This window comes from Homo sapiens, chromosome X, assembly GCF_000001405.40.
Source record: "Homo sapiens chromosome X, GRCh38.p14 Primary Assembly".
Lineage (NCBI taxonomy): Eukaryota > Metazoa > Chordata > Mammalia > Primates > Hominidae > Homo > Homo sapiens.
In genome coordinates, this window is record NC_000023.11 from 130,022,780 (window position 1) to 130,043,707 (window position 20,928).

General features: G+C 50.3%; 1 protein-coding gene and 1 long non-coding RNA gene across 21 annotated transcripts in view, besides 2 other annotated features; one reads left to right on the forward strand and one right to left on the reverse strand.

Moving 5' to 3' along the window:
• The window catches only part of BCORL1 (BCL6 corepressor like 1), a 77,759-nt gene that overhangs the window by 42,467 nt on the left and 14,364 nt on the right, over nt 1–20,928 (forward strand). For 13 of the 20 annotated variants that reach the window (XM_005262453.5, XM_006724777.4, NM_001441327.1 and 10 more), the window contains 6 exons: nt 118–198; nt 2,211–2,600; nt 5,856–6,082; nt 11,676–11,897; nt 14,588–14,754; nt 16,358–16,503. In XM_005262453.5, the coding sequence (XP_005262510.2) occupies nt 118–198; nt 2,211–2,600; nt 5,856–6,082; nt 11,676–11,897; nt 14,588–14,754; nt 16,358–16,503 (1,233 nt within the window). The remainder of the gene's footprint in view (nt 1–117; nt 199–2,210; nt 2,601–5,855; nt 6,083–11,675; nt 11,898–14,587; nt 14,755–16,357; nt 16,504–20,928) is intronic. The other 7 variants (XM_047442344.1, NM_001441329.1, NM_001441331.1 and 4 more) reach the window with 2 other exon arrangements.
• On the reverse strand, nt 119–1,319 carry LOC124905216 (uncharacterized). The gene is made up of 2 exons (XR_007068333.1): nt 1,177–1,319; nt 119–236 (listed from the first exon to the last, which is right to left on the reverse strand). It is a non-coding gene; the product is annotated as an uncharacterized LOC124905216 (long non-coding RNA).
• Nucleotides 1,253–1,302: an enhancer, noted in NCBI's record as "active region_29932". NCBI's record gives its function as "activates an Ori minimal core promoter by ATAC-STARR-seq in GM12878 lymphoblastoid cells {active_cell/tissue: GM12878}" and the evidence as "EXISTENCE:reporter gene assay evidence [ECO:0000049][PMID:35858748]".
• Nucleotides 2,403–2,902: an enhancer, noted in NCBI's record as "H3K4me1 hESC enhancer chrX:129159157-129159656 (GRCh37/hg19 assembly coordinates)". NCBI's record gives its function as "activates a minimal SCP1, AML or CMV promoter by ChIP-STARR-seq in primed H9 embryonic stem cells {active_cell/tissue: H9 hESC(primed)}" and the evidence as "EXISTENCE:reporter gene assay evidence [ECO:0000049][PMID:30033119]".

The following is a 20,928-nucleotide window of genomic DNA, read 5'->3' on the forward strand; positions in this document are numbered from 1 at the left end:
GGGTAAACACAAACTCTTTCTCAATCTTTCCCCCGAGCCTCACAGGTGGGCTTTCTGGTCTTTAAGCTTTGATTGTAACATTTCTGCCTTCTGTCCCCAAACCACACATCACTCCAGGTTCCTTGGAAAAGAAAGCAAAGAGCAGTTTCCGTGACTTTATTCCTGTGGTTCTGAGCACCCGCACGCGCAGTCAGTCTGGTGAGTGAGACTAAGGTGATGGCCCCTCTCAGCATCTTCTATGAAAAGAGAGATCGAAATCTGGTTGAGCAGTTTTACCATGGGCCCAGGTGTCGAGTTGGGAATTTGATTCACTGTGCCACAATGCCCAGCTCCTTGCAGAGATAAGAGAGCCCTGGGTGGGGGCAGGGGACAAATAGTCCTCAAATATTGCCCACTGTTTGAGGATTATTTGTTCAACTTTTCAGAGCAGGGATTTGACATCTCTTGTTGGGAGCTGATGGTGGAAAGAGGTAAGGCCTGTGCCACTCGGGAAAGCTGGTTCAACTCCAAGCTTTGGCACCTCGTCATTACTGGGGCTAATCTCAGGCACAGACATTTAACTTTCTACCTTGGTCTTATTGCCCTATGTGACAGGCAGCCTCAAAGTTGGAAAAGTCATTGAATCGTCAGGGCTGGCAGAATCACATTTGGCTCCCTGAATTTGTGTTGGTCAACCTCTAGGGACTAAAAAAAGCTAGCCCTTTCTAGCCACCACTACCTTCTGCTAGCCTCCACACTGGTATCCAGGGCTGGAGATAGTTGTCCCAGTTCACCCAATTTCCATGCAAATTGGATAGAATGGGGAAGCAAGGTATAGTGTAAACTCAGTTATCTGACATTCTAGTAACCGGCACCTTAGCACATGGCAAGCGAGGTGGTAATTGGGGCTCATAATGATGGCCTGGAGGCCTTACAAAATCCTGAAGTGTCCTCTGAATTATCAAAGAGCAATTACATTACAGCCAGTCCCATTTTAGTGTTAAACACATTGTACTGTATTTGATTCTTTGGAAATTGGTGATCCCTTTGTGATCTCTATGATGATTCTGTATTAACCAGAATATTAGATTAACCAGAACACTTTGTTTTGCCTAGTCTATATAATGGAAAATGTGCTGTTATTTGCTGTCTTTTAGCAGTGTGACTAACTTGAAGCTTTGGTCAAGGGCTACTTACTCTATTTGCCTCGAACCATTTCTTTCTTCTGCTGACTTCGCTTGGGTCTGGGGACTGTTGAGTTAATAGCTGGGCCTTGGGAGAAAGATGGTGGTGTCTCACAGCTGCTTCCGAGGAGGAAGGTGTCAAATCTCCTGTAGTGTGAAACCAGGCCAATTTAGGATGTACTTTCGTTGTTAGCAGAGTTGAAGGAAAGAGTGGAGAGAGAAAATGGCCTCTTGGCAAGGTGGCTGAGGAAGGCAGGAAAGGTACCAATCCATCCTGGGGTGGTGGGGGAGGAGGGGGAAGCGCTTGCCCAGCGGTGAGGAACAGCTACAACCGGGTGGAGGGAGGTGCCTGGGAGGAAGCTCCACCCCTGAACTCTTGGCAAGTCGGGAGGAGGTGGGGTCAATTTAAGGGAAGTGGGCGTGCCTGGGTGCATTTGGGCGTGACCCAACCAGGCTCTGTCACAGATCACAGGAAAGGGACTCCTTCTTGCTTCGCTTTTCTTGAGACTCTTCTCTTGTGATGATTCTGCTTGGCCGGGGTGGCTCTGTCCCCAAGATTGGTGGTGCCACAAAAGGAGTATATCCTCCCTTGCCCTGTCTGAGACCCCAATTGCCCTCTCCTAGCCCCTGATTTCCCAGGGACCCGTGGCCCTCTCCTGCCCTTCACAAAATACTTGGCACTTTATAAGAGCTAAGCAAGAGTTTTGGGTGTGGATTCAGGTGACACTGTAACGTGGATGAGTAAGGGTGTGTGTTTTTAATACTTGATGTTGTCTGGTATATTGGACTCTGTAAAGCACATATGCGTGAAAAATCTTATTTGAGCCTCAAAACAGCCCTGTGAGGTCAGTAAGGGGAGAACAGTATCCCCATTTTATAGATGAGGAGACTGCACTGAAGGAACTTTCCCGAACGGTACAGCTAATAACTGGCAGAGCCTGAACTTGAACCCAGACCTTCAAACTCCTAGTCCAGGGCATTCACTTCGACACCATGCTTTGTCCTTTGAAGAAGTACCTGACCATCCTCTGTACATCCCATCCACAGGAAGCATCTGTAGCTCCTTTGCTGGCATGGCAGACAGTGACATGGGAAGCCAGGAAGTCTTCCCCACAGAAGAAGAAGAGGAGGTAACCCCCACCCCAGCTAAGCGTCGAAAGGTGAGAAAGACCCAACGGGACACCCAGTATCGCAGCCACCATGCCCAGGACAAGTCTCTGCTGAGCCAGGGCCGAAGGCACCTGTGGCGAGCCCGAGAAATGCCCTGGAGGACAGAGGCTGCCCGGCAAATGTGGGACACCAATGAGGAGGAGGAGGAAGAAGAGGAGGAGGGCCTGCTGAAGAGGAAGAAACGAAGACGGCAGAAGAGCCGAAAATATCAGACTGGGGAGTACCTGACAGAGCAAGAAGACGAGCAGCGGCGGAAAGGGAGAGCAGGTAAGGCTGGCCAGGGGCTCTGCTGTCGCCGCGGCCCGTTTGGCTTCTGGGAACCCTCGGGCATCTCTACGCCAGCCAAAGGCTTCGGGACCCAGAGAAACCCGGTGCTATGATCTCCAGCTGCCAGAGGGGGTCACTCAACTCCAGCTCCGAGCCTTTGGCTTTGGGTTGACATTGAATGAGTTCGGATTGGCCTGCAGGTGAGCGGAGGACATGAAGGCCCAAGCCCTCCGGTTTCTTATAGAAGTCTGAACCTGTGGGCAAGGCCACGGTGACATCCTTGGCATGGGACAACTGGATACCAGGGAGTTCTCTGGTTGGCTTGAGGGAGTCGAGTCTTTTGGGAGGACGGGTTCTCTCTCCTAGAATCTTGGGTTCAAGAAGACAGAGGGCATCGGCTGCCTTTCCTGGGATACTTGCAGCCTCTAAGCTAAAAAGAAGTACAGTGGGTTCTTCAAACCAACAGAAGAACTTCAAGTAGAAACGGGCACAGCATTGCTTTATCCGTTAAAGCCACAGTGATTATTCAGAGGCGGAGTGAAGCTTTGAGGTGACCCAAAGTAGCATCATTTTTGTTGGACCTGAGTTGAGAAGGCAGGCAGCCCAAAGAGAAAACCAGGCTTTCTCTGACCACATCAAATGCTGTGATATACCATTCCGGAGGCACAGACTGTCACAAGATGCTAATATCAGTATGTTCCACTGAGTACTGTTCAGGCCCATTCCTATAGTGGATTTCTAAATGAGCAAAAAGCACATCTTTGGGTTTTATAAGAACACCTCTGTCTCTCACTCTCATTCTCTGACCTCTACCCTGGAAGCAGCAATTGATTGCCTCCTATGATGTATTCATCCTGAGCTGCCGGTAAACATCCGCTGTCTCCTTATTAGCTAAAACTGAATAACCTCATATTGAGTGGGTAGTAGAGTCCAGGTTTGCTATAATGCAAAGACGGCTTAACCTCATTTCCGGCTCTGTTTAAGTGGAGGTGTATATGATACCCATCTCTACGCTCAAGAGAGTAATTGAGCTAATTTTCATCAACTATGTGACAGAGTGGGAACAATTCTCTTTCTTCTGCTAGAGCAATAATAGATTGGTCAGGAATGAGTTGTCAAGCTGTTGGCCTCAGCCACTTGTGTTAGGATGAAGAGGAGCTTTTGTGTATCACCTAATCTTCTCTAATGGCACCTGGTTTCCTAGCATGGAAGCTTCCTGTGGAACATATTGGCGCTTGGAACCAGAAGGACCTTCGAGGTTGCCTGGTCCAGTTTGCCACCCAATGCAAAGATAGAGATCTCCACAGCATTCTTGACAGGTAGCCAGCCAGCCTTTTCATGAACACACCTCCAGTAACGCAGAGAACACCACCAATCAAGGCATCCTACTTGATTTGGGGGCAGCTCCAGTTGTTGGAAAGTAGGTCATTCTTCCTCTGTGGATGTGTCTAAGGGTTTTGCATTGAGGCAGCTGGATTTGGCACATGGTCTGGTTACTTTCCTCCAGATCTGATGATGGCATCTTCGTGCAGGAATTTGGCAAAGGCCAAATGAGGCAGGTTACCCTGCTTCTGTCTGAGCCTCCTGACTTTTCTTTTCATCCTGGTTTTGGTTATCTCCCTTCTTGACCTGCGGAGCAGGTAGGCAGAGCCACTTCCACTCACACACCTGCCACCTCCGCTCTCTAGTCCTTTGTGGGCTACTATAAAGCCTTCACTTCTCTGCAATTGAATAAACACCCGAGCCTGCCCTGCCCTGGGTAAACAAGGTGGGGGGCTGTTTCTTTGCCTGTAGCATTGAACACTGTAATATGACTTCTTCATGTTTCCTGGGGTCCTCACAAGGCATGGTTCTGTTCCTTCCTCTTTTGCCTCAGCCCAAATGTGTCGCATCAAAAGCTGGAGTTTAGAACATTCTGACTGGAAGTGCTATTAGAGACCATGTAGTACAGCAATTCCTGGACAGGCTATGGGGCCCCACTAGCGGGCTGAGGCTAGCTGGGAGAAAGGGATGGCATGACAGCTGGCCTTCCAGGAACTGTGCATAAGCTGCAGCCAACTCCTTGTGCTGAAATGATGGCTTCCACATCTGGATCTGCCTTTGTCAATGTCACATGTGAGAGCCCGTGTCAGGGTTGAGAGAGGCGAGTTGAGAACTCTTCAATCTCAGTCCCTTCATTTCACTAATTGCTAGGCATGGTGTTCATTCCTTTGGGGAGGAAAACACACGGGCATGGCTCCACCTCAAGAGCTTGTGCTTAAATAACACAATAATGATGTCTTACTTGTTATAACACTTTTTGAAAGGGGTTTTGCATGTATTATCTTATTTAATTCTCATACCACTCTTGTGATGTAGATTATATTCTCCCCATTTTACAGATATGGCAACTGAGGCTCAGAGCAATTAGGACTTGAGCCCAGCCAATCACACAATTGATGGCCAAGCCAAGCAGCACTAATCTTGAGAGATGAGGTTAAACACACAGTCGCCCCTACACACGGGGTTAGGACAGACCCTGTGGGATGAAGCTCTTGATAATGGAGTTCCCGGCAGGCCTTTTTGAAATTAGAATGTGCTTTGTTCAGCAAGCTGTGGCTAAATTAGAGATGTTGCTGGTGTGTTCTAGTGACACCAGTGACTTGATTTTCACCCAGAAAAGGCAGCAGGTTTCTGCCCTTGACTGCCAGCTAGGTAGGCTCATGATGCCTTCTAGTTTCAGGGAGTTCCTGTAGCTTTGATCTTTGTGTCCTCGGAGAGTGACAAATGGGGCAGTCAGGTGAGTAGAGCTGAGGCCATGAAGGCAGCCTTCTACCTTTTCCTCCCTGTTCCCCATGTACTTGATACTTAATGTCAGCAGGACCACCAGATTTGCTTTCATACGGGACTGGAGAAACAGACAAAGGGAATGGGAAAAAAGCAAAAAGAAATTCTGATTTGCTCTGGGCTCTGGGAAAAATCCTGTTAAAATTACCCTTATCTTAGGGCTAGCCAGATGGGCCGCCCCCTGCTGGCAGGGCTGGGAGCTGTCTCCTGCTTGTAGATGAGGGACTTCGATGTTGAAGTATGGTGTGTTCATTCAAGAAGTATTTAGTGGAATAGTCAGCACAGCACTAGATATCGATAGCTGATAGTTATACAACTTTGCACTGCAGTTCTAATCCCCAAAGTCCTCTGATTCATCTTAGAGGAAGGCGTTGCTTTTCTGTGTTCCATTTCTCTGACATCCGTTCTTTTCCTGTTTCTTGCCTTCAGATTTAAAGGCCCGTAAGCAGAAGACTTCCTCCTCCCAAAGTTTGGAGCACCGCCTCAGGAACAGGAACCTTCTCTTGCCCAACAAAGTCCAGGGGATCTCGGATTCACCAAACGGTTTCCTCCCAAATAACCTGGAAGAGCCAGCCTGCCTTGAAAATTCAGAAAAGCCATCAGGAAAACGAAAGTGCAAGACCAAGCACATGGCAACCGTCTCAGAAGAGGCAAAGGTGTGTAGCTATCAAGGGGTATTGTAGAAGGTGTGTGTGGCGGGGGGTCAGAGGAGGCAGGAGGGGGGTGGGGGATGGGGAGGATCAAATTAACCCATATTTAGTAAGGCATTCTCAAACTAGTTCTCGAAGGGTTGGGGGTGGATTTGAAGAATGGGAACTAAAGTTATAGTTAATTTTAAGGTCTGGCCCATGATGGCTTTTCCTCTACAATCTTTAGATTTTCTTTGAGTTAAGGAAGAGTTAAAGAATATGGCAGGATGTTAGCTTGAGTAGCTCGTTAACATCCAATCAAGAAGCTTTTGTCTGGGTTTAACTTACTGGAAACCAATCTTGGAACTTTCTGAGTCAATCAAGGTAGAAAACAACTTGTAGGAGGAAGGATTTTAAGGTCCAGACAAAGGTTGATTGAGGGTGAGGCTGAAGGAATTCCACTGGGGCCCAGGTTCTAGCTACTCCTCCCCTACCCTGCTTCCCAGTTCTTTAGCTTCTCATGGAAGCGTAGATGCTAGTGAGTGGGCAGTCACCAATCAACAGCCAGGCAAGCATTCCTAAAACCCTCATCCCAAATCAACATCTCTTTTGGGTCTGATGTTCATGCCATTGGTGTTAGGTTGCATGTTGTATCCTTAGAAAAAATCAGTCTTCAACCTGGGTTAACTTTACATTTGAGAGAAGTGAGGGTCCGGGTTCAAATGTATACCTATAATATGTATTTGTCATTGACAGCCAAAAACAAAAGCCCATCTTCAGCTTGTTTTGGTGGTCGTGATTCTTATTTTTTTTTTTCTCTCTCTCTCTCTCTCTTTTTGAGAGTCACACGCTTTCGCCCAGGCTGGAGTGCAGTGGCACGATCTCGGCTCACTGTAACCTCCGCCTCCTGGGTTCAAGCGATTCTCGTGCCTCAGCCTTGTGAGTAACTGGGATTACAGGCGCCCACCACCACGCCCGGCTAATTTTTGTATTTTTAGTACAAAAATACAAAAAATCACCATGTTGGCCGGGCTGATCTCGAACTCCTGAGCTCAAGTGATCCGCCCGCCTTGGCCTCCCAAAGTGCTGGAATTACAGGCGGAAGCCATCACGCCTAGCGCTTTGGTGGTCATGATTCTTACTGGAATCCCCGAATGGCACTGGCAAGAGGTGGGAGCCCCAAGTGCTCGTCTCCCCTCCTTTCCCCTTCCCCCTCCCAGAACCTCTTTCCAGCTCAGACAAGACTCAAGCTTATTTCTTCATCTTGAAGAATGGAGCTGCTGCTTCATGCCCTTTCTGTCTCACAAGGGTGCTTGGGGGAACAAAGGAAGCAATGTCTGTGACAGGCTTTGATAACCATAAAGTGCTCTCCGAGGGTTGCTGTGCATCATTGTGCTTCGGGCGGAAGCAAGAATGAGGGAACAGAGGCATAGCGTGGCAGGGTAGCAGCGTTCGTTCCCTTGACCCCCTAGAGTGGGAGGACAGGGGCCCAGGGAAAGAGCAGGGAACTCTGGTCTGTGCCAAGCAGTTCATTCACGTTATCGCTCTTAATTCCCGCAGTGGCACTTGGGAGGTAGGCACCTTTATTATCCTCATTTTGTAGTGAGGAAACTGAGGCTCAAGGAGGTTAAGGGACTTGTGCGAGGTTATTGGGTGGTCCTGAGTGATGCAGTTGGGACGTGAAAAAGGCCTGTCTGCCTCTGGAGCCATGGCTCGTTCCATATGTCTCTCAGGCTCTGAATGGGGGGCTTCTGTTTGTATTTGGGAGGCACTGGGGGAAGGGGGCAGTTGGGCAGAAAATGCTGCCTCCACAAGCAGCGCTGGGAAAAGGTGGGCGTCTCAGGCTCCTGCTCCCCCTCCCCTTCCCCCTGTTCCTCCCCCAGACACTCAGATGGATGGCCCCAGCCCACACAAAGGTAACCAGCGCTCGAGATTCAGCAGCACACTCACATGCTTCTGTCTGGCTATTCTGCCTGGCAGTGGGTCCGCTGCAGTGTTCTCCTGGAGAGGTTTTTGTCCCTCCCTCTGACCTTCCTTTCCCCCTCCCACCTTCCTTTCTCTCCCAGTCACCACCACCTGCTCTGGTTGCCCCCATGGCATGGGGCTTTGTAGCAGGAAGCAAGGGGTGGGGGAGGGCGGGGAACGCTCCTGCAACACTGAAAGCGGGGCACTGGCCAAGGGCTTCTTCCCACAGGGGCTCAGAGCCAGGGGGAAGGAGAGAGGGGGAGGGGTCCCCCCACTTGTTCTTGCTCCTCCCCCTCCCAGGCAACTTGCCTCGCTGCTGCTCTCTGGCAGCTTTGGCCCCCAGAAAGGAGAGTCACCCTTTGGTTCCTGGCTTGGCTTAGTGAAACCCTGGTACTTTACCCAGCATCCTCCAGTCCTGCCATTGTACATTCTATCCTCCTGGCGATAAAGCAGCATTGTACCCTCATAGCTAGTGCCTTCCTGCTAGGGCTTGTACCTCTCTGCCCTTTCAGGATGGGGACTGATCATGGCTTCTCGCTGTCTTGGGATTGACCAGAGGAAACAAATGCCCCGAGCCCTCATCTTCTGTTCTCTACTGCTCCTTTCCTGACTTGATGTCTTTTTAGGCAACTTTTCTGGCCATCCAGGGCTCTGCACACAGCTGGCTTGAAACAGGTCAACAAATATTTGTTGTAATAATGTGGCCAGGCGCGGTGGCTCACGCCTATAATCCCAGCACTTTGGGAGGCTGAAACAGGTGGATCACATGAGATCAGGAGTTTGAGACCAGCCTGGGCAACATGGTGAAACCCCGTCTGTACTAAAAGTACAAAAATTAGCTGGGCGTGGTGGCACCTGCCTTTAGTTCCAGCTACTTGGGAGGCTGAGGCAGGAGAATTGCTTGAACCTGGGAGGCAGAGGTTGCAGTGAGCCAAGATCGTGTCACTGCACTCCAGCCTGGGTGCCAGAGCGAGACTCTGTCTCAAAAACAAACAAACAACAACAACTAATAATAATAATGTGCCCAGCCCTGAGTTAAGTGCTGTAAGGAACAGAAAAATGATGACAATATGAACCCTGTCCCCAAGGAGCTTAAAATCTAGCAGGAGAGGTGAGACTTACGCGTGAAACTCTGGGTGGAAAGAAGAAAGTGAGGCATCAGATTACGTGGTTCAGACTTGGTACTCTGGCTACACAGAGGAAGAGGGCCCAGAGTGTTGTGGAATATGGTAGAAGACAGAGGATTGAACTGAGACCTTGATGTTCTGAGGGGTTTGGATAAGTCGGAAATACTAGTTATCTATTGGGGTATAACAAATTACTATACAACTTAGCAGCTTTACACAACAATAAGCATATGTTATCTCACACAGTTTCTTGGGGTCAGGAATTCAGGGGCTTAGCTAGGCCTGGCTTGGGGTCTCTCGTGAGGTTGCAGTCAGGTGTCAGCCAGGGCAGCATTCCTCTGAGGGTGTGACTGGAGGATCTGCTTCTGGGGTAGCTTGCTCGCATGGCTGGCACATTGATGCTGGTTGTTGGCAGGAGGCCTCCTCTCCCTGCCCCATGGATCTCTCCAGTGGGCTGCTCAAGGGTCCTCAGGACACGGCAGCTGGCTTTCCCCACGAGTGATCCAAAAGAGAGCAAGGCAGAAACCACAGTGTCTTTTAGGCCCTAGCCTCAGAAGACACCTACTGTCATTTCTGCAGTCTCCTGTTGGTTACATAGGTCAGCCCTACTCACTGTAGGAGGAAGGTGCATAAGAGCATGAAGATCAGGGGATCACTGGGGCCATCTTAGAGGCTGACTCCCACAGTCTGCCCTCTGGCCTCCCCCAGTGATTCCTGTCCCTCCCACATGCAAAGTATGCCACCTCTCCCAGTGCCCCCCAAAGCTTCATCCAATTATAGCATCACCTCCAGGTCGAGAATCTCTTCTATTTATTTATTTATTTATTTATTTATTTATTTATTTATTTATTTGTAATGGAGTTTCACTCTTGTTGCCCAAGCTGGAGTGCAGTGGCTCTATCTGGGCTCACTGCAACCTCTGCCTCCCAGGTTCAAGTAATTCTCCTGCCTCAGCCTTTCGAATAGCTGGGATTACAGGTACCTGGCACCACTCCCGGCTAATTTTTTGTACTTTTAGTAGAGATGGGGTTTCACCATATTGGCCAGGCTAATCTCGAACTCCTGACATCTGGTGATCCACCCGCTTCAGCCTTCCAAAGTGCTGGGATTACAGGTGTGAGCCACCATGCCCGGCAATTTTTTTTCTTTTCTTCTCTCTTTTTTTTTTTTTTTGTAACAGAGTCTCACTCCATCACCCAGGCTGGAGCGCAGTGCCGCAATCTTGGCATACTGCAACCTCCCCCTCCCGGGCTCAAGTGATTCTCATGCCTCAGCCTCCTGAGTAGCTGGAACTATAGGCGTGTACCACCACGCCCAGCTGATTTTTTGTATTTTTAGTAGAGGCTGGGTTTCACTGTGTTGGCCAGGCTGGTCTTGAACTCCTGTCCTCAACTGATCTGCCTGCCTTAGCCTCCCAAACTGCTGGGATTATAGGCGTGAGCCACCGCTCCCGGCCTCTCCTAGTGTTTTGTGAGCACCTACCCTGCTCACAGTTCTGGAGCCTTTGTAGTTCATTATCTCAAAGACCCTGCAAGGAAGAAAGTGGGGCTCAGAGAGGGAGGGCCTTGCCCCAGGTCTTCTAGCTAGGGGATGGCAGAGGCAAGGTTCAAGCCCAGGTCTGCCTTAGATCTTTCTACCACCCCAGGGGAGTCTGAGTATGATATGGGGACACAGTGTGATGGAAGATGGGAACATTCTGTGAGGACTGGATGTGGAAGGAAGGTTTTTGCTACAAGTGTGAAGCTTTAGCAGCTGTGACTAGTCAAAGATAGCCGGCCGGGCATGGTGGCTCATGCCTGTAATCCCAGCACTTTGGGAGGCCGAGGCAGGCGGATCACTTGAGATCAGGAGTTCGAGACCAGACTGGCCAATGTGGCGAAACCCCTCTCTACTAAAAATGCAAAAATTAGCTGGGCATGGTGGCGCATACCTGTAATCCCAGCTACTCAGGAGGCTGAGGGAGGAGAATCCCTTGAACCTGGGAGGCAGAGGTTGCAGTGAGCAGAGATCACACCACTGCACTCCAGCCTCAGTGACAAAGTGAGACTCGGTCTCAAAAAAAGAAAAAAAAAAGATAGCTGTCTCATTTCTCTTTACTCTCAGAGTTTGCTTCTGCCTATTTACAGATAGGACTTATAAAAACCTCAATAAATGGTGATTGAGGCAGGTAAAGAAGGCATGCAGAGTCTTGAGAGAAGCTAGGATATCCCCTCAATCTCTGATTTACAATCCCTGTGGCATTCCTTGGTTTATGGGGTTGAGCATTTGAACCTCTTCATATCTCCCCACCGGCTACAAACTCATGGGAACCTGTGTTGATCCTGGAGAGACTTCACATGGTTAGCGCCTGGCCCAGCGTCTGGCCTCAAACCTGACAGTAGTCTCGGCCATTTAGGGTAGTGTAAGCAAAGTACAGCATGGACACAGATAAGGTGAGATGGCCTTGGCCACTGAGGGCAGTGATGACCCTGGTGGATGGATAAGCTGCCTGGCCTGACCTGACCTAGGACTGCATCTCTGCTTTCCAGGGCAAAGGTCGTTGGAGCCAGCAGAAGACACGATCTCCCAAATCTCCCACCCCAGTGAAACCCACAGAACCATGTACACCCTCTAAGTCCCGAAGTGCCAGCTCAGAGGAGGCCTCAGAGTCACCTACAGCCCGGCAGATCCCCCCAGAGGCACGTCGGCTCATAGTGAACAAAAATGCTGGTGAGACCCTCCTGCAGAGGGCGGCGCGTCTTGGCTATAAGGTAAGGGAGTTTTCGACTGACCACAGGGCGCCGTTGGTCTGAGCATCTATGAAGAAGCTTTTCTCCATGGGCTCTTCTGGTGCTTGAACCCAGGCTGGCCTCCCTCTACACCCCAGATTGCCCTGGGGCTGCCTTGCCCCTCATCACTTGGATGTCAGCGTGTGAGAATGCAAACTTGCTTGAATGTCAATTTGGGATGAATGCAATTGAAATGGTATCATGCAGTATATTCCTAGACCAGGAACGCAATTTTTGGATATCCACGTTGTCTTAAATTTCTCTGTATGGTGGTTTCCCAACTCAGAAAGGAACAAGGGGTGATTTATTGCTCACTCTTCATCTCCTCCTCCAGCTTCCCCTCATTTTCGCCTCTCGCAGAGGGGCCAGGATCATGTTTGAGGGGCGAGGCTGAGCTAACCCCACCTTATACTACTACCCTATAGATTAGAAAGAAGGCAAGAAAGGAAGCTGGCATTTATTGAGCACTTCTTTTGTCATGTGAAGAGCCTGATTACTTTGTATCATTTAATCTCACAGTAAGCCGATGGAGTAGATTTATTATCCCCATTTTATAGGTGAGAAAATCGAGGCTTTGCAGTGTTACTGATATGTCTAAGATCACTCAACTACTACGCATATGAGTCTGAATTCAAACCAAGGTCTTTTGATTCCCAAGTGCCAGGGTAGGTGGAAGACTGACTCATTCACCATAATTCAGTTACACCTTGGACGTTTCCATTGTTCCCCACTTTTTATTGAGTGTGTATCTTTGCCTACCATATGGATTATTTCCTCAGGGTATGCTCCTAGCAGTGGAGTTGCTGGGTTAGTTACAGAGTGTGCCTTTGGTTTTAAGGCTTTCCATCCCTATACCTGAGTTGTTTCACACCAGCCACACTCCCAGCCAGACTGGTCAGCTCTGGGGAGCTGACGTGACAGTGTCTCACTGGCAAGCAGCCCATCTTTCATGAGCACCTAGTGTGCGTGCCTGGATAGCTGCCGAGGGAGACCTAAAACAAAAATCAAGACCAATCCCTGCCGTCAAGGTTAATTTAATTGTCTTGTACCCTGGGCAAAACCAGCCAACAGGAAACCATTGGAGGGGCCAATGGGACAGGGCTGGAGCACTAAGGCAGCCTGTCAGGGAGGGTGGAAGGAGCCCTTTTGGGCCTGGGGGAAGAGGCAGACATCTGCACTGGTGAGGAGGGTGGGAAGCCTCGGGCTTTCTCCCGGGTAAAGGAGCTTGACAGTTTCTATATACAGCCAGCAGCACCCCTGACACAGGCTGCACACACAGCCGCTCTAGCCAGCTAGCCTGTGAGCTGTCAGACAGAAAGGTGGAGTGGCCCATCTCCCCAGTGCCCCAGAGAGGACTGGCAATGGTGCAGCTATGGGATCCATTGTTTGGAAAGCCAGGCAGCCATTAATGCTGCCAGCCTCTCCCCTCCTCACCTCATTCACCCAGCTTCAGCCCATGCTAGCTAGGGTGCTTCAAGTCCCTGGTGTCCCACCTGTAGTCCTAGCATCATCTCAATCCAAGGAAGGCAGTCATTAAAGTGTGGATGAATGGCAGTATTGGATTATCCTTTTTTTTTTTTTTTGGAGATGGAGTCTTGCTCTGTCACCTAGGCTGGAGTGCAACGGTGCAATCTCGGCTCACTGCAGCCTCCACCTCCTGGGTTCAAGGGATTCTCCTGCCTCAGCCTCCTGAGTGGCTGGGATTACAGGCACCTGCCATCACACTGGGCTAATTTTTGTATTTTTAGTAGAGAGGGGGTTTTGCCATGTTGGCTAGGCTGGTCTCAAACTCCTGACCTCAGGTGATCTGCCCGCCTCAGCCTCCCAAAGTGCTGGGATTACAGGCGTGAGCCACTGCACCCAGCCTATTGGATTATCCTGATTTGAGGGGAGGGCTAGAACTGACTGTCCTGGCTTGAACATTGGTCCTGCCGAGACGTGCATCCAGGGATAGTCCTTAAAACAATTGTCTTCCTTATTCTTGAATTGCCACCAGAGGCTGTGCTCTCCACCACATCTCATTTCTCTGGTCTGGGGCTGGCTTGCCAAGCTCAGGGAGTCGAGGTCTGAGTGCTTGAGCTCTGGGCGGGCAGGTCAGCCTCTCTGAGGACCTCACCTCAAATACCACCACCCAGATGAGTGTCCTTGGCCATAAAAAAAGTCTCTCCAGGCCAGGTGCGGTGGCTCACGCCTGTAACCCTAACACTTTGGGAAGCCAAGGTGGGCAGATCACCTGAGTTCAGGAGCTGGAGACCAGCCTGGCCAACATAGTGAAATCTCATCTCTATTAAAAATACGAAAATTAGCCAGGCGTGGTGGCGTGCGCCTGTAGCTCCAGCTACTTGGGAGGCTAAGGCAGGAGAATCGCTTGAACCTGGGAGGCAGAGGCTGCAGTGAGCTGAGATTGCGCCACTGCACTCCAGCCTGGGCAACAGAGTGAGACTGTCTCAAAAAAAAAAGTCTCTCCACTGCCAAGGAAACGGCCCAGAGCTGGGGTCCTGGCAATTGTGGCTCAGGACTGATGTTGTTAATGAAAGATTTTGAAGTGTGTCCCTGCTATAAAGGGCAGGCTCTGAGACTCCTCAGATATTTGGGGAGCTTTGAGTCTCAGGGTTATATAAGTTCAAGAATTAGACCTCTCTTTGCTCATGGAGTTGTCCCTGTCCCCACAGGATGTTGTTCTCTACTGCCTCCAGAAAGACAGTGAAGATGTGAATCACCGTGACAATGCTGGCTACACAGCCCTGCATGAGGCTTGTTCCCGGGGCTGGACCGACATCCTGAACATCCTGCTGGAGCACGGGGCCAACGTGAACTGCAGTGCGCAGGACGGCACGAGGCAAGAGGGCTGCATCTCCCCCCAGTCCCGCCCTCACTCCCAGCTCAGCCTCTCACTCAAAAGACCTTGCCTGCCGCTGGCAGGCATGGTGGCTCACGCCTGTAATCCCAGCACTTTGGGAGGCCAAGGCGGGCGGATCATGAGGTCAGGAGTTCGAGACCAGCCTGGCCAACATAGTGAAACCCCATCTTTACTAAAAATACAAAAATTAGCCGGGTGTGGTGGCATGTGCCTGTAGTCCCAGCTACTAAGGAGGCTGAGGCAGGAGAATTGCTTGAACCCAGGAGGTGGAGGTTGCAGTGAGCCGCGACCATGCCATTGCACTCCAGCCTGGGTGATGGAGACTCCGTCTCAAAAAAACATAAAAAATAAAAAAATAAAGACCTTACCTCAACCTGAACCTTCGTAGCACACCAGACTGCGAGTTGCAGAGAGGCCTTGACAGGAGGAGTTTTGGAAAGACTTCTATAGGCTCAAGAGGGAACCAGTTTAGGGCAGGAGCCAATGAGTTAGTTCCCAGATGGCCAGGCCGCATCAGTTACTAAGGGGAGGCTGTGGTTGTCTAGGGATCATCCCATCATGTGTAGCTGTCACCAGGAAGACCACTCGGTCTTCCCTCAACTCATCCTGGTGGGGGACGTGTCTCAGACAGAATAGAAACTGAGAGGTTGACCTGAGGGTAATATCCAGATTTGATTTTTAAAATTTGATCTCTAGACACTGTAAGAAAAATACACCTGCTGTGTCTTAGAGAAATTGTACCCATTCTCCTCTGTTCTACCAGAGAGCCTACTTCCTGGGCAAATTAGAGACAGGAGCTGCAGATCCAGGAGGGGGCTCCGCTTGGGTTCTGCCTGGCGTGTGGAGCCCTTCTGCTCATCTCTGCTCTCAGGGAGTCACCCAGGGCCTTCAGTTCCCTGAACTGAAGTATCCCTCTACAGTTGCCCCCACCTTTTTTTTTTTTTTGAGATGGAGTCTCACTCTGTCGCCCAGGCTGGTATGCAGTGGCACAATCTTGGCTCGCTGCAACCTCTGCCTCCCGGTTTCAAGCAATTCTCCTGCCTCAGCCTTCTGAGTAGCTGGGACTATGGGTGCCCGCCATGACGCCCAGCTAATTTTTGGATTTTTAGTAGAGATGGGGCTTCACCATGTTGGCCAGGCTGGTCTCAAACTCTTGGCCTCAAGTGATCCACCTGCTTCGGCCTCCCAAAGTGCTGGGATTACAGGCGTGAGCCACCGCGCCCGGCTTCCCTGCAGCTGCCTTAACTTTATTGTAGGTCAGGGACCCATCCTCTAGTGAACTCCACAACTACCAATAGAGCTACATTGTGCCATGGGAACTGTCCCAAGATGTCAGGGGAACGTAAGAGAGAGAGAGTAATGGGAGGGAGGAAAAGGGGGTACAGAGAGAGGAGGAGTTGGGGAGATGGTAGTGGAGAGTTGCAAGGCTACAGGTGGTTCCCTTGTCCTAAGTCTTAAACCATATTACACCAAGGTTACCTGGGGGTCAGCTCAGTTTTTTCCCCTGATGCAGTAGCCTTAAGTGTAGACACCCCAGTTCCCACTTGGGCCCTGTTATCCTCACCCTGTATCACCTCCACAGGCCAGTTCATGATGCGGTGGTCAATGACAACCTGGAGACCATCTGGCTCCTGCTGTCCTATGGGGCCGATCCCACACTGGCTACCTACTCGGGTCAGACAGCCATGAAGCTGGCCAGCAGCGACACCATGAAGCGCTTTCTCAGTGGTAAGCATGGTCCAGACTTGACACTGTTGTCCTTGGGGCCAGCCTCTGATTCCTGAACTTGTGAGGACATCCTCTTCATCTCCTTCCACCTTGAACAGCTCCCATGAGGGCCATCTGCCCTCTTCACCTGCTTTCATTCAAAGAGCTCAAGAATCTCAGTTTGCTTGAAAAAGTCCAAAGGCCACTTCCTCTTATCCCCTTACTGCAAGTGTGTGCGTCCTCTTCAGGGCCCTGGGAGCCCACAGGGACCTATTTCGTAGCTAGGGATCTAGGGTGGGCCTCTGTGTGGGGGCGGCAGCCCCACTAGTAGACCTAGCTGGGGGCAGAATGTGTTGACCTGTGCTTTGAATGGGATGTCAGTTGCAACAAAGTGATACTTAGCATTTTGCTTATGTGTTTGCAATTTCTTCTTGTTTGTGATCAAGTGGATCACAGTGGAACCCCTGGGATGCTTCCCGAAGCTTCATTCTTTACAGCCCTTGCCTGTGGGAACTGTGATGTTCCCTCTGCATCCCAGGGTCCCCCTTCCTTCCGTTCCTTTTCCTCCCTCACCTGCCCCTTCTGTAAAGTGTCTGGTGTTGAGGCCCATGGCAAGGGCCACAAGCCAACATGCATTTATTTTCTCATTAGTGGATAGCAGCTGTTTGTCTGCAGTTAGATAGCTCTACTGAGTTGGGCAGGGGGAGGAGGGAAGGAGGGGAGTCTAGCTTGGGCATGCTCAGTAGGAATCTCCTCAGACTTGACCTCTGAATAAAGGAACCCTGCCTCTTAGTGACATCACAGTTTGGCCCTTGCTCTAGCAGTGACTTCTTCAGACTGCCTGAGCGGCGGAGCAGCTGGGAGTTGTATCTCTGAACCTTCTTGGAGGCTGCAGTGTTTGTATTGTGGTTAGAACCCCTCTCTGGCCAGGAGCCAACAGGACTAAGGATTGGCCCAAAGCTGCTCCCTCTTCTCACCCAGACTTTGGCCCTAGTTAGCCCCGAACCTCTATACCTCCAGATATATGGTTCCAGGCTCCCAACCAGGGGCTCATTTGTTTATCCAACAAAGGTTAACTAAGTAGCTGATGATGGAGGAAGAAACAAAGGGGACCTAACTAAAGGCTCTTATGGAAGGGGAGGACTAGGTAGGCGGTGAGTGGGGGGTAATAGGAGGCTGTCGCGGGAGATCTTGACTCCTGCTCAGCCAGCCTCCACCCAGGTCTCAGCTGAGCTGACTAAACCTTGGAGCACAGGCCTTAGGCCTGTACAGCCTGACTAGCATCTCCCAGGCTGGGGGCAGGATGGCTGCCTTTTCTGTTTTCCCTCCCTCCAGCTCTGGGTTCCCAAGCCCCTGTCCTTGAGGCGCAGAGCAGCCTTGGAATGTTCATTCAGTCATTTGTCCTGGGCCAGTGGTGACTGTTGTTCCCCTTAGCTGAACCATCCCTAGGGGTGCAGGGCTTGGGGCAAGCCACCGTTGGTAGCTGCCTCCCACGTACTGTGTACACATGCACTCTCTCTTAGACACATACACGTGTTATCTGCACTCCACTGGATTCCCAGGAAAATCTGAGACCAACAAGCATCCAGAGCATCTTGATATGACAAAGGCACCACACGCAGCTCTGTCTTTGAGAAACCGGTCTAGTCCCGAGGCCTCCTTAGGCTAGAAACTGCCATCCCGAGGGTCTCAGGGGCTCCTAGATCTAAATAACACTGTGACCACCTTAGTAAACAGATGAACTCTTTGCTTCCCCAATCCCTTCTCCAAAACCCCTAAGGAGTAGGAATGTGGAAACCATTTTAAGTAGTTAAAAAATGGGAAATAGGCCAGGCGCAGTGGCTTATGCCTGTGATCCCAGCACTTTGGGAGGCTCAGGTAGGAGAATTGCTTCCGGCCAGGAGTTTGAGACCAGCCTGGGCAACATACGGAGACCTTGTCTCTACAAAAAAATTTAAAAATTAGCCAGGTATGGTGACTGCACTCCAGCCTGGGCAACAGAGTGAGACAGTGTCTCAAAAAAAAAAAAAAAAAAAAAAGAGACAGAGAGGAGAGAAATAAACACGTTTCTCTTATCTTTCTGTCTCCTCATCCCAACTACTAGCTATCTTTTGGTTTTGTTTTGTTTTTGGCGCGATCTTGGCTCACTGCAACCTCTGCCTCCCGGGTTCAAGCGATTCTCATTCCTCAGCCTCCTGAGTAGCTGGGATTACAGGCATTCGCCACTATGCCCGGCTAATTTTTGAATTTTTAGTAGAGACAGGGTTTTGCCATGTTGGCCAGGCTGGTCTCGAACTTCTGCTAGCCAGCTTTTTGACACCTCCTGAAACTAAATTGAATGCCAGTCTATGTTGCAGAATTCAGAGAAGACTTTTATTTTTTTTAGGCGGAGTCTTGCTCTGTCGCCAAGGCTCGAGTGCAGTGGCGTGATCTCAGCTCACTGCAACCTCCACCTCTCGGGTTCACACCATTCTCCTGCCTCAGCCTCCCAAGGAGCTGGGACTACAGGCACCCGCCACCAAGCTCGGCTAATTTTTGTGTATTTTTAATAGAGACGGGGTTTCACCATGTTAGCCAGGATGGTCTCGATCTCCTGACCTCGTGATCCGCCCGCCTCGGCCTCCCAAAGTGCTGGAATTACAGGCGTGAGCCACCGCGCCCGGCCCCAGAGAAGACTTTTCTTAACTCTAGTACTTCACATATTTGTGGTGTGTGTGTGTATGTACGTATATGTGTTTATATATATTTGAGACAGAGTCTTGCTGTGTTGCCCAGGCTAGAGACTCCAGCACTTCCTAACTTGTCCTGGCTGAGCACCTTTATTTAGATTTGTTAAAAATTACTAGAGACAGTGTCTTGCTCTGTCACCGAGGCTGGAGTGCAGTGGTACAATCATAGCTCAGTGCAGTTTCAAACTCCTGGGCTCAAGCAATCCTCCTGCCTCAGCCTCCCAAGTAGCTAGGACCACGGGTGTGTGCCACCGGTCCCAGCTAATTTTGTATTTTATCTTTTTGTTGAGATACGGGGTTTGCTATGTTGCCCAGGCTGGTCTGGAACTCCTGGGCTCAAGCTATCTTCCCGCCTTGGCCTCCCAAAGTGCTGGAATTACAAGTGTGAGCCACCATGCCCAGTCTTCATTTAGACCTTTTGCTCAATTTATGGGCATGAATCAGGCTTAATAATGGGAGTCAGGAGCCAATGGGTTGCTATAAAGTGCACCAGCTCTTTTCCATGCAAAGGCAGCCTGGGACCTTGGCCTACCACCACAGGAAGGCAGGCACTGGCAGGAGTCAGCAGGCTCTCAAGAAGCAGGGGGCCCTTAGGCCCAAAGGCTGTTTGTAGGGTGTGTGAGAGGACAGCACTCAGGGACTTTTTTAAAAATTGAGGTAAAATTTACCTAACATAATCATTTTAAAGTGAACAATTCGGGCCAGGCGTGGTGGCTCACCCCTGTAATCCCAGCACTTTGGGAGGCCAAGGTGGGTGGATCACTTGAGGTCAGGAACTGGAGACCAGCCTGACCAACATGGTGAAACCCCCTCTCTACTAAAAATACAAAAGTTAGCTGGACCGTGGTGGTGCATGCCTGTAATCCCAGCTACTCGGGAGGCTGAGGCAGGAGAATTGCTTGAACCCAGGAGGTGGAGTTTGCAGTGAGCTGAGATCACACCACTGCACTCCAGCCTGGGCGACAGAGCGAGACTCCGTCTCAAAAAATTAATTAATTAAAAAAAATAAAGTGAACAATTCAGTGGGATTTAGTACATTCTCTTTTTTTTTTTTTTTTTCCTGAGACAAATCTCACTGTTACCCAGGCTGGAATGCAGTTGCATGATCTCAGCTCACTGCAACCTCTGCCTCCCAGGTTCAAGTGATTCTCCTGCCTCAGCTTCCCGAGTAGCTATGACTATAGGTGTGCACCACTGTGCCTGGCTAATTTTATATTTTTAATAGAGGTAGGTTTCACCATGTTGGCCAGGCTGGTCTCCAACTCCTGACCTCAAGTGATCCGCCTCCCTTGGCCTCCCAAAGTGCTGGGATTACAGGCATGAGCTACCGCTCCTGGCCCATTTAGTACATTCCTAATGTTGTGCAGCCAACCTCAGGGGCTGTTTGGATGCCTTGAACTGAGTGTTTGGCTCTCATTTTTCATGCCTGTGTGCCTCCCTGCCAAATCTCCAGGAACCACTGGGTAGGTTGGTAGGGTGGCTGCAGGAAGCACCCGAGTGTGGAGACTGGAGGCTGGGGAAGCTTTTCCCTCCACTGCTCTGCCTCCTCAGCCCCTACACCTAGATACATTTACATGGACTTCTGATTTATTTATTTATTTTTGAGACGGAGTCTCGCTCTGTCGCCAGGCTGGAGTGCAATGGCGCAATCTTGGCTCACCGCAACCTCCGCCTCCCAGGTTCAAGTGATTCTTTTGTCTCAGCCTCCCCACTAGCT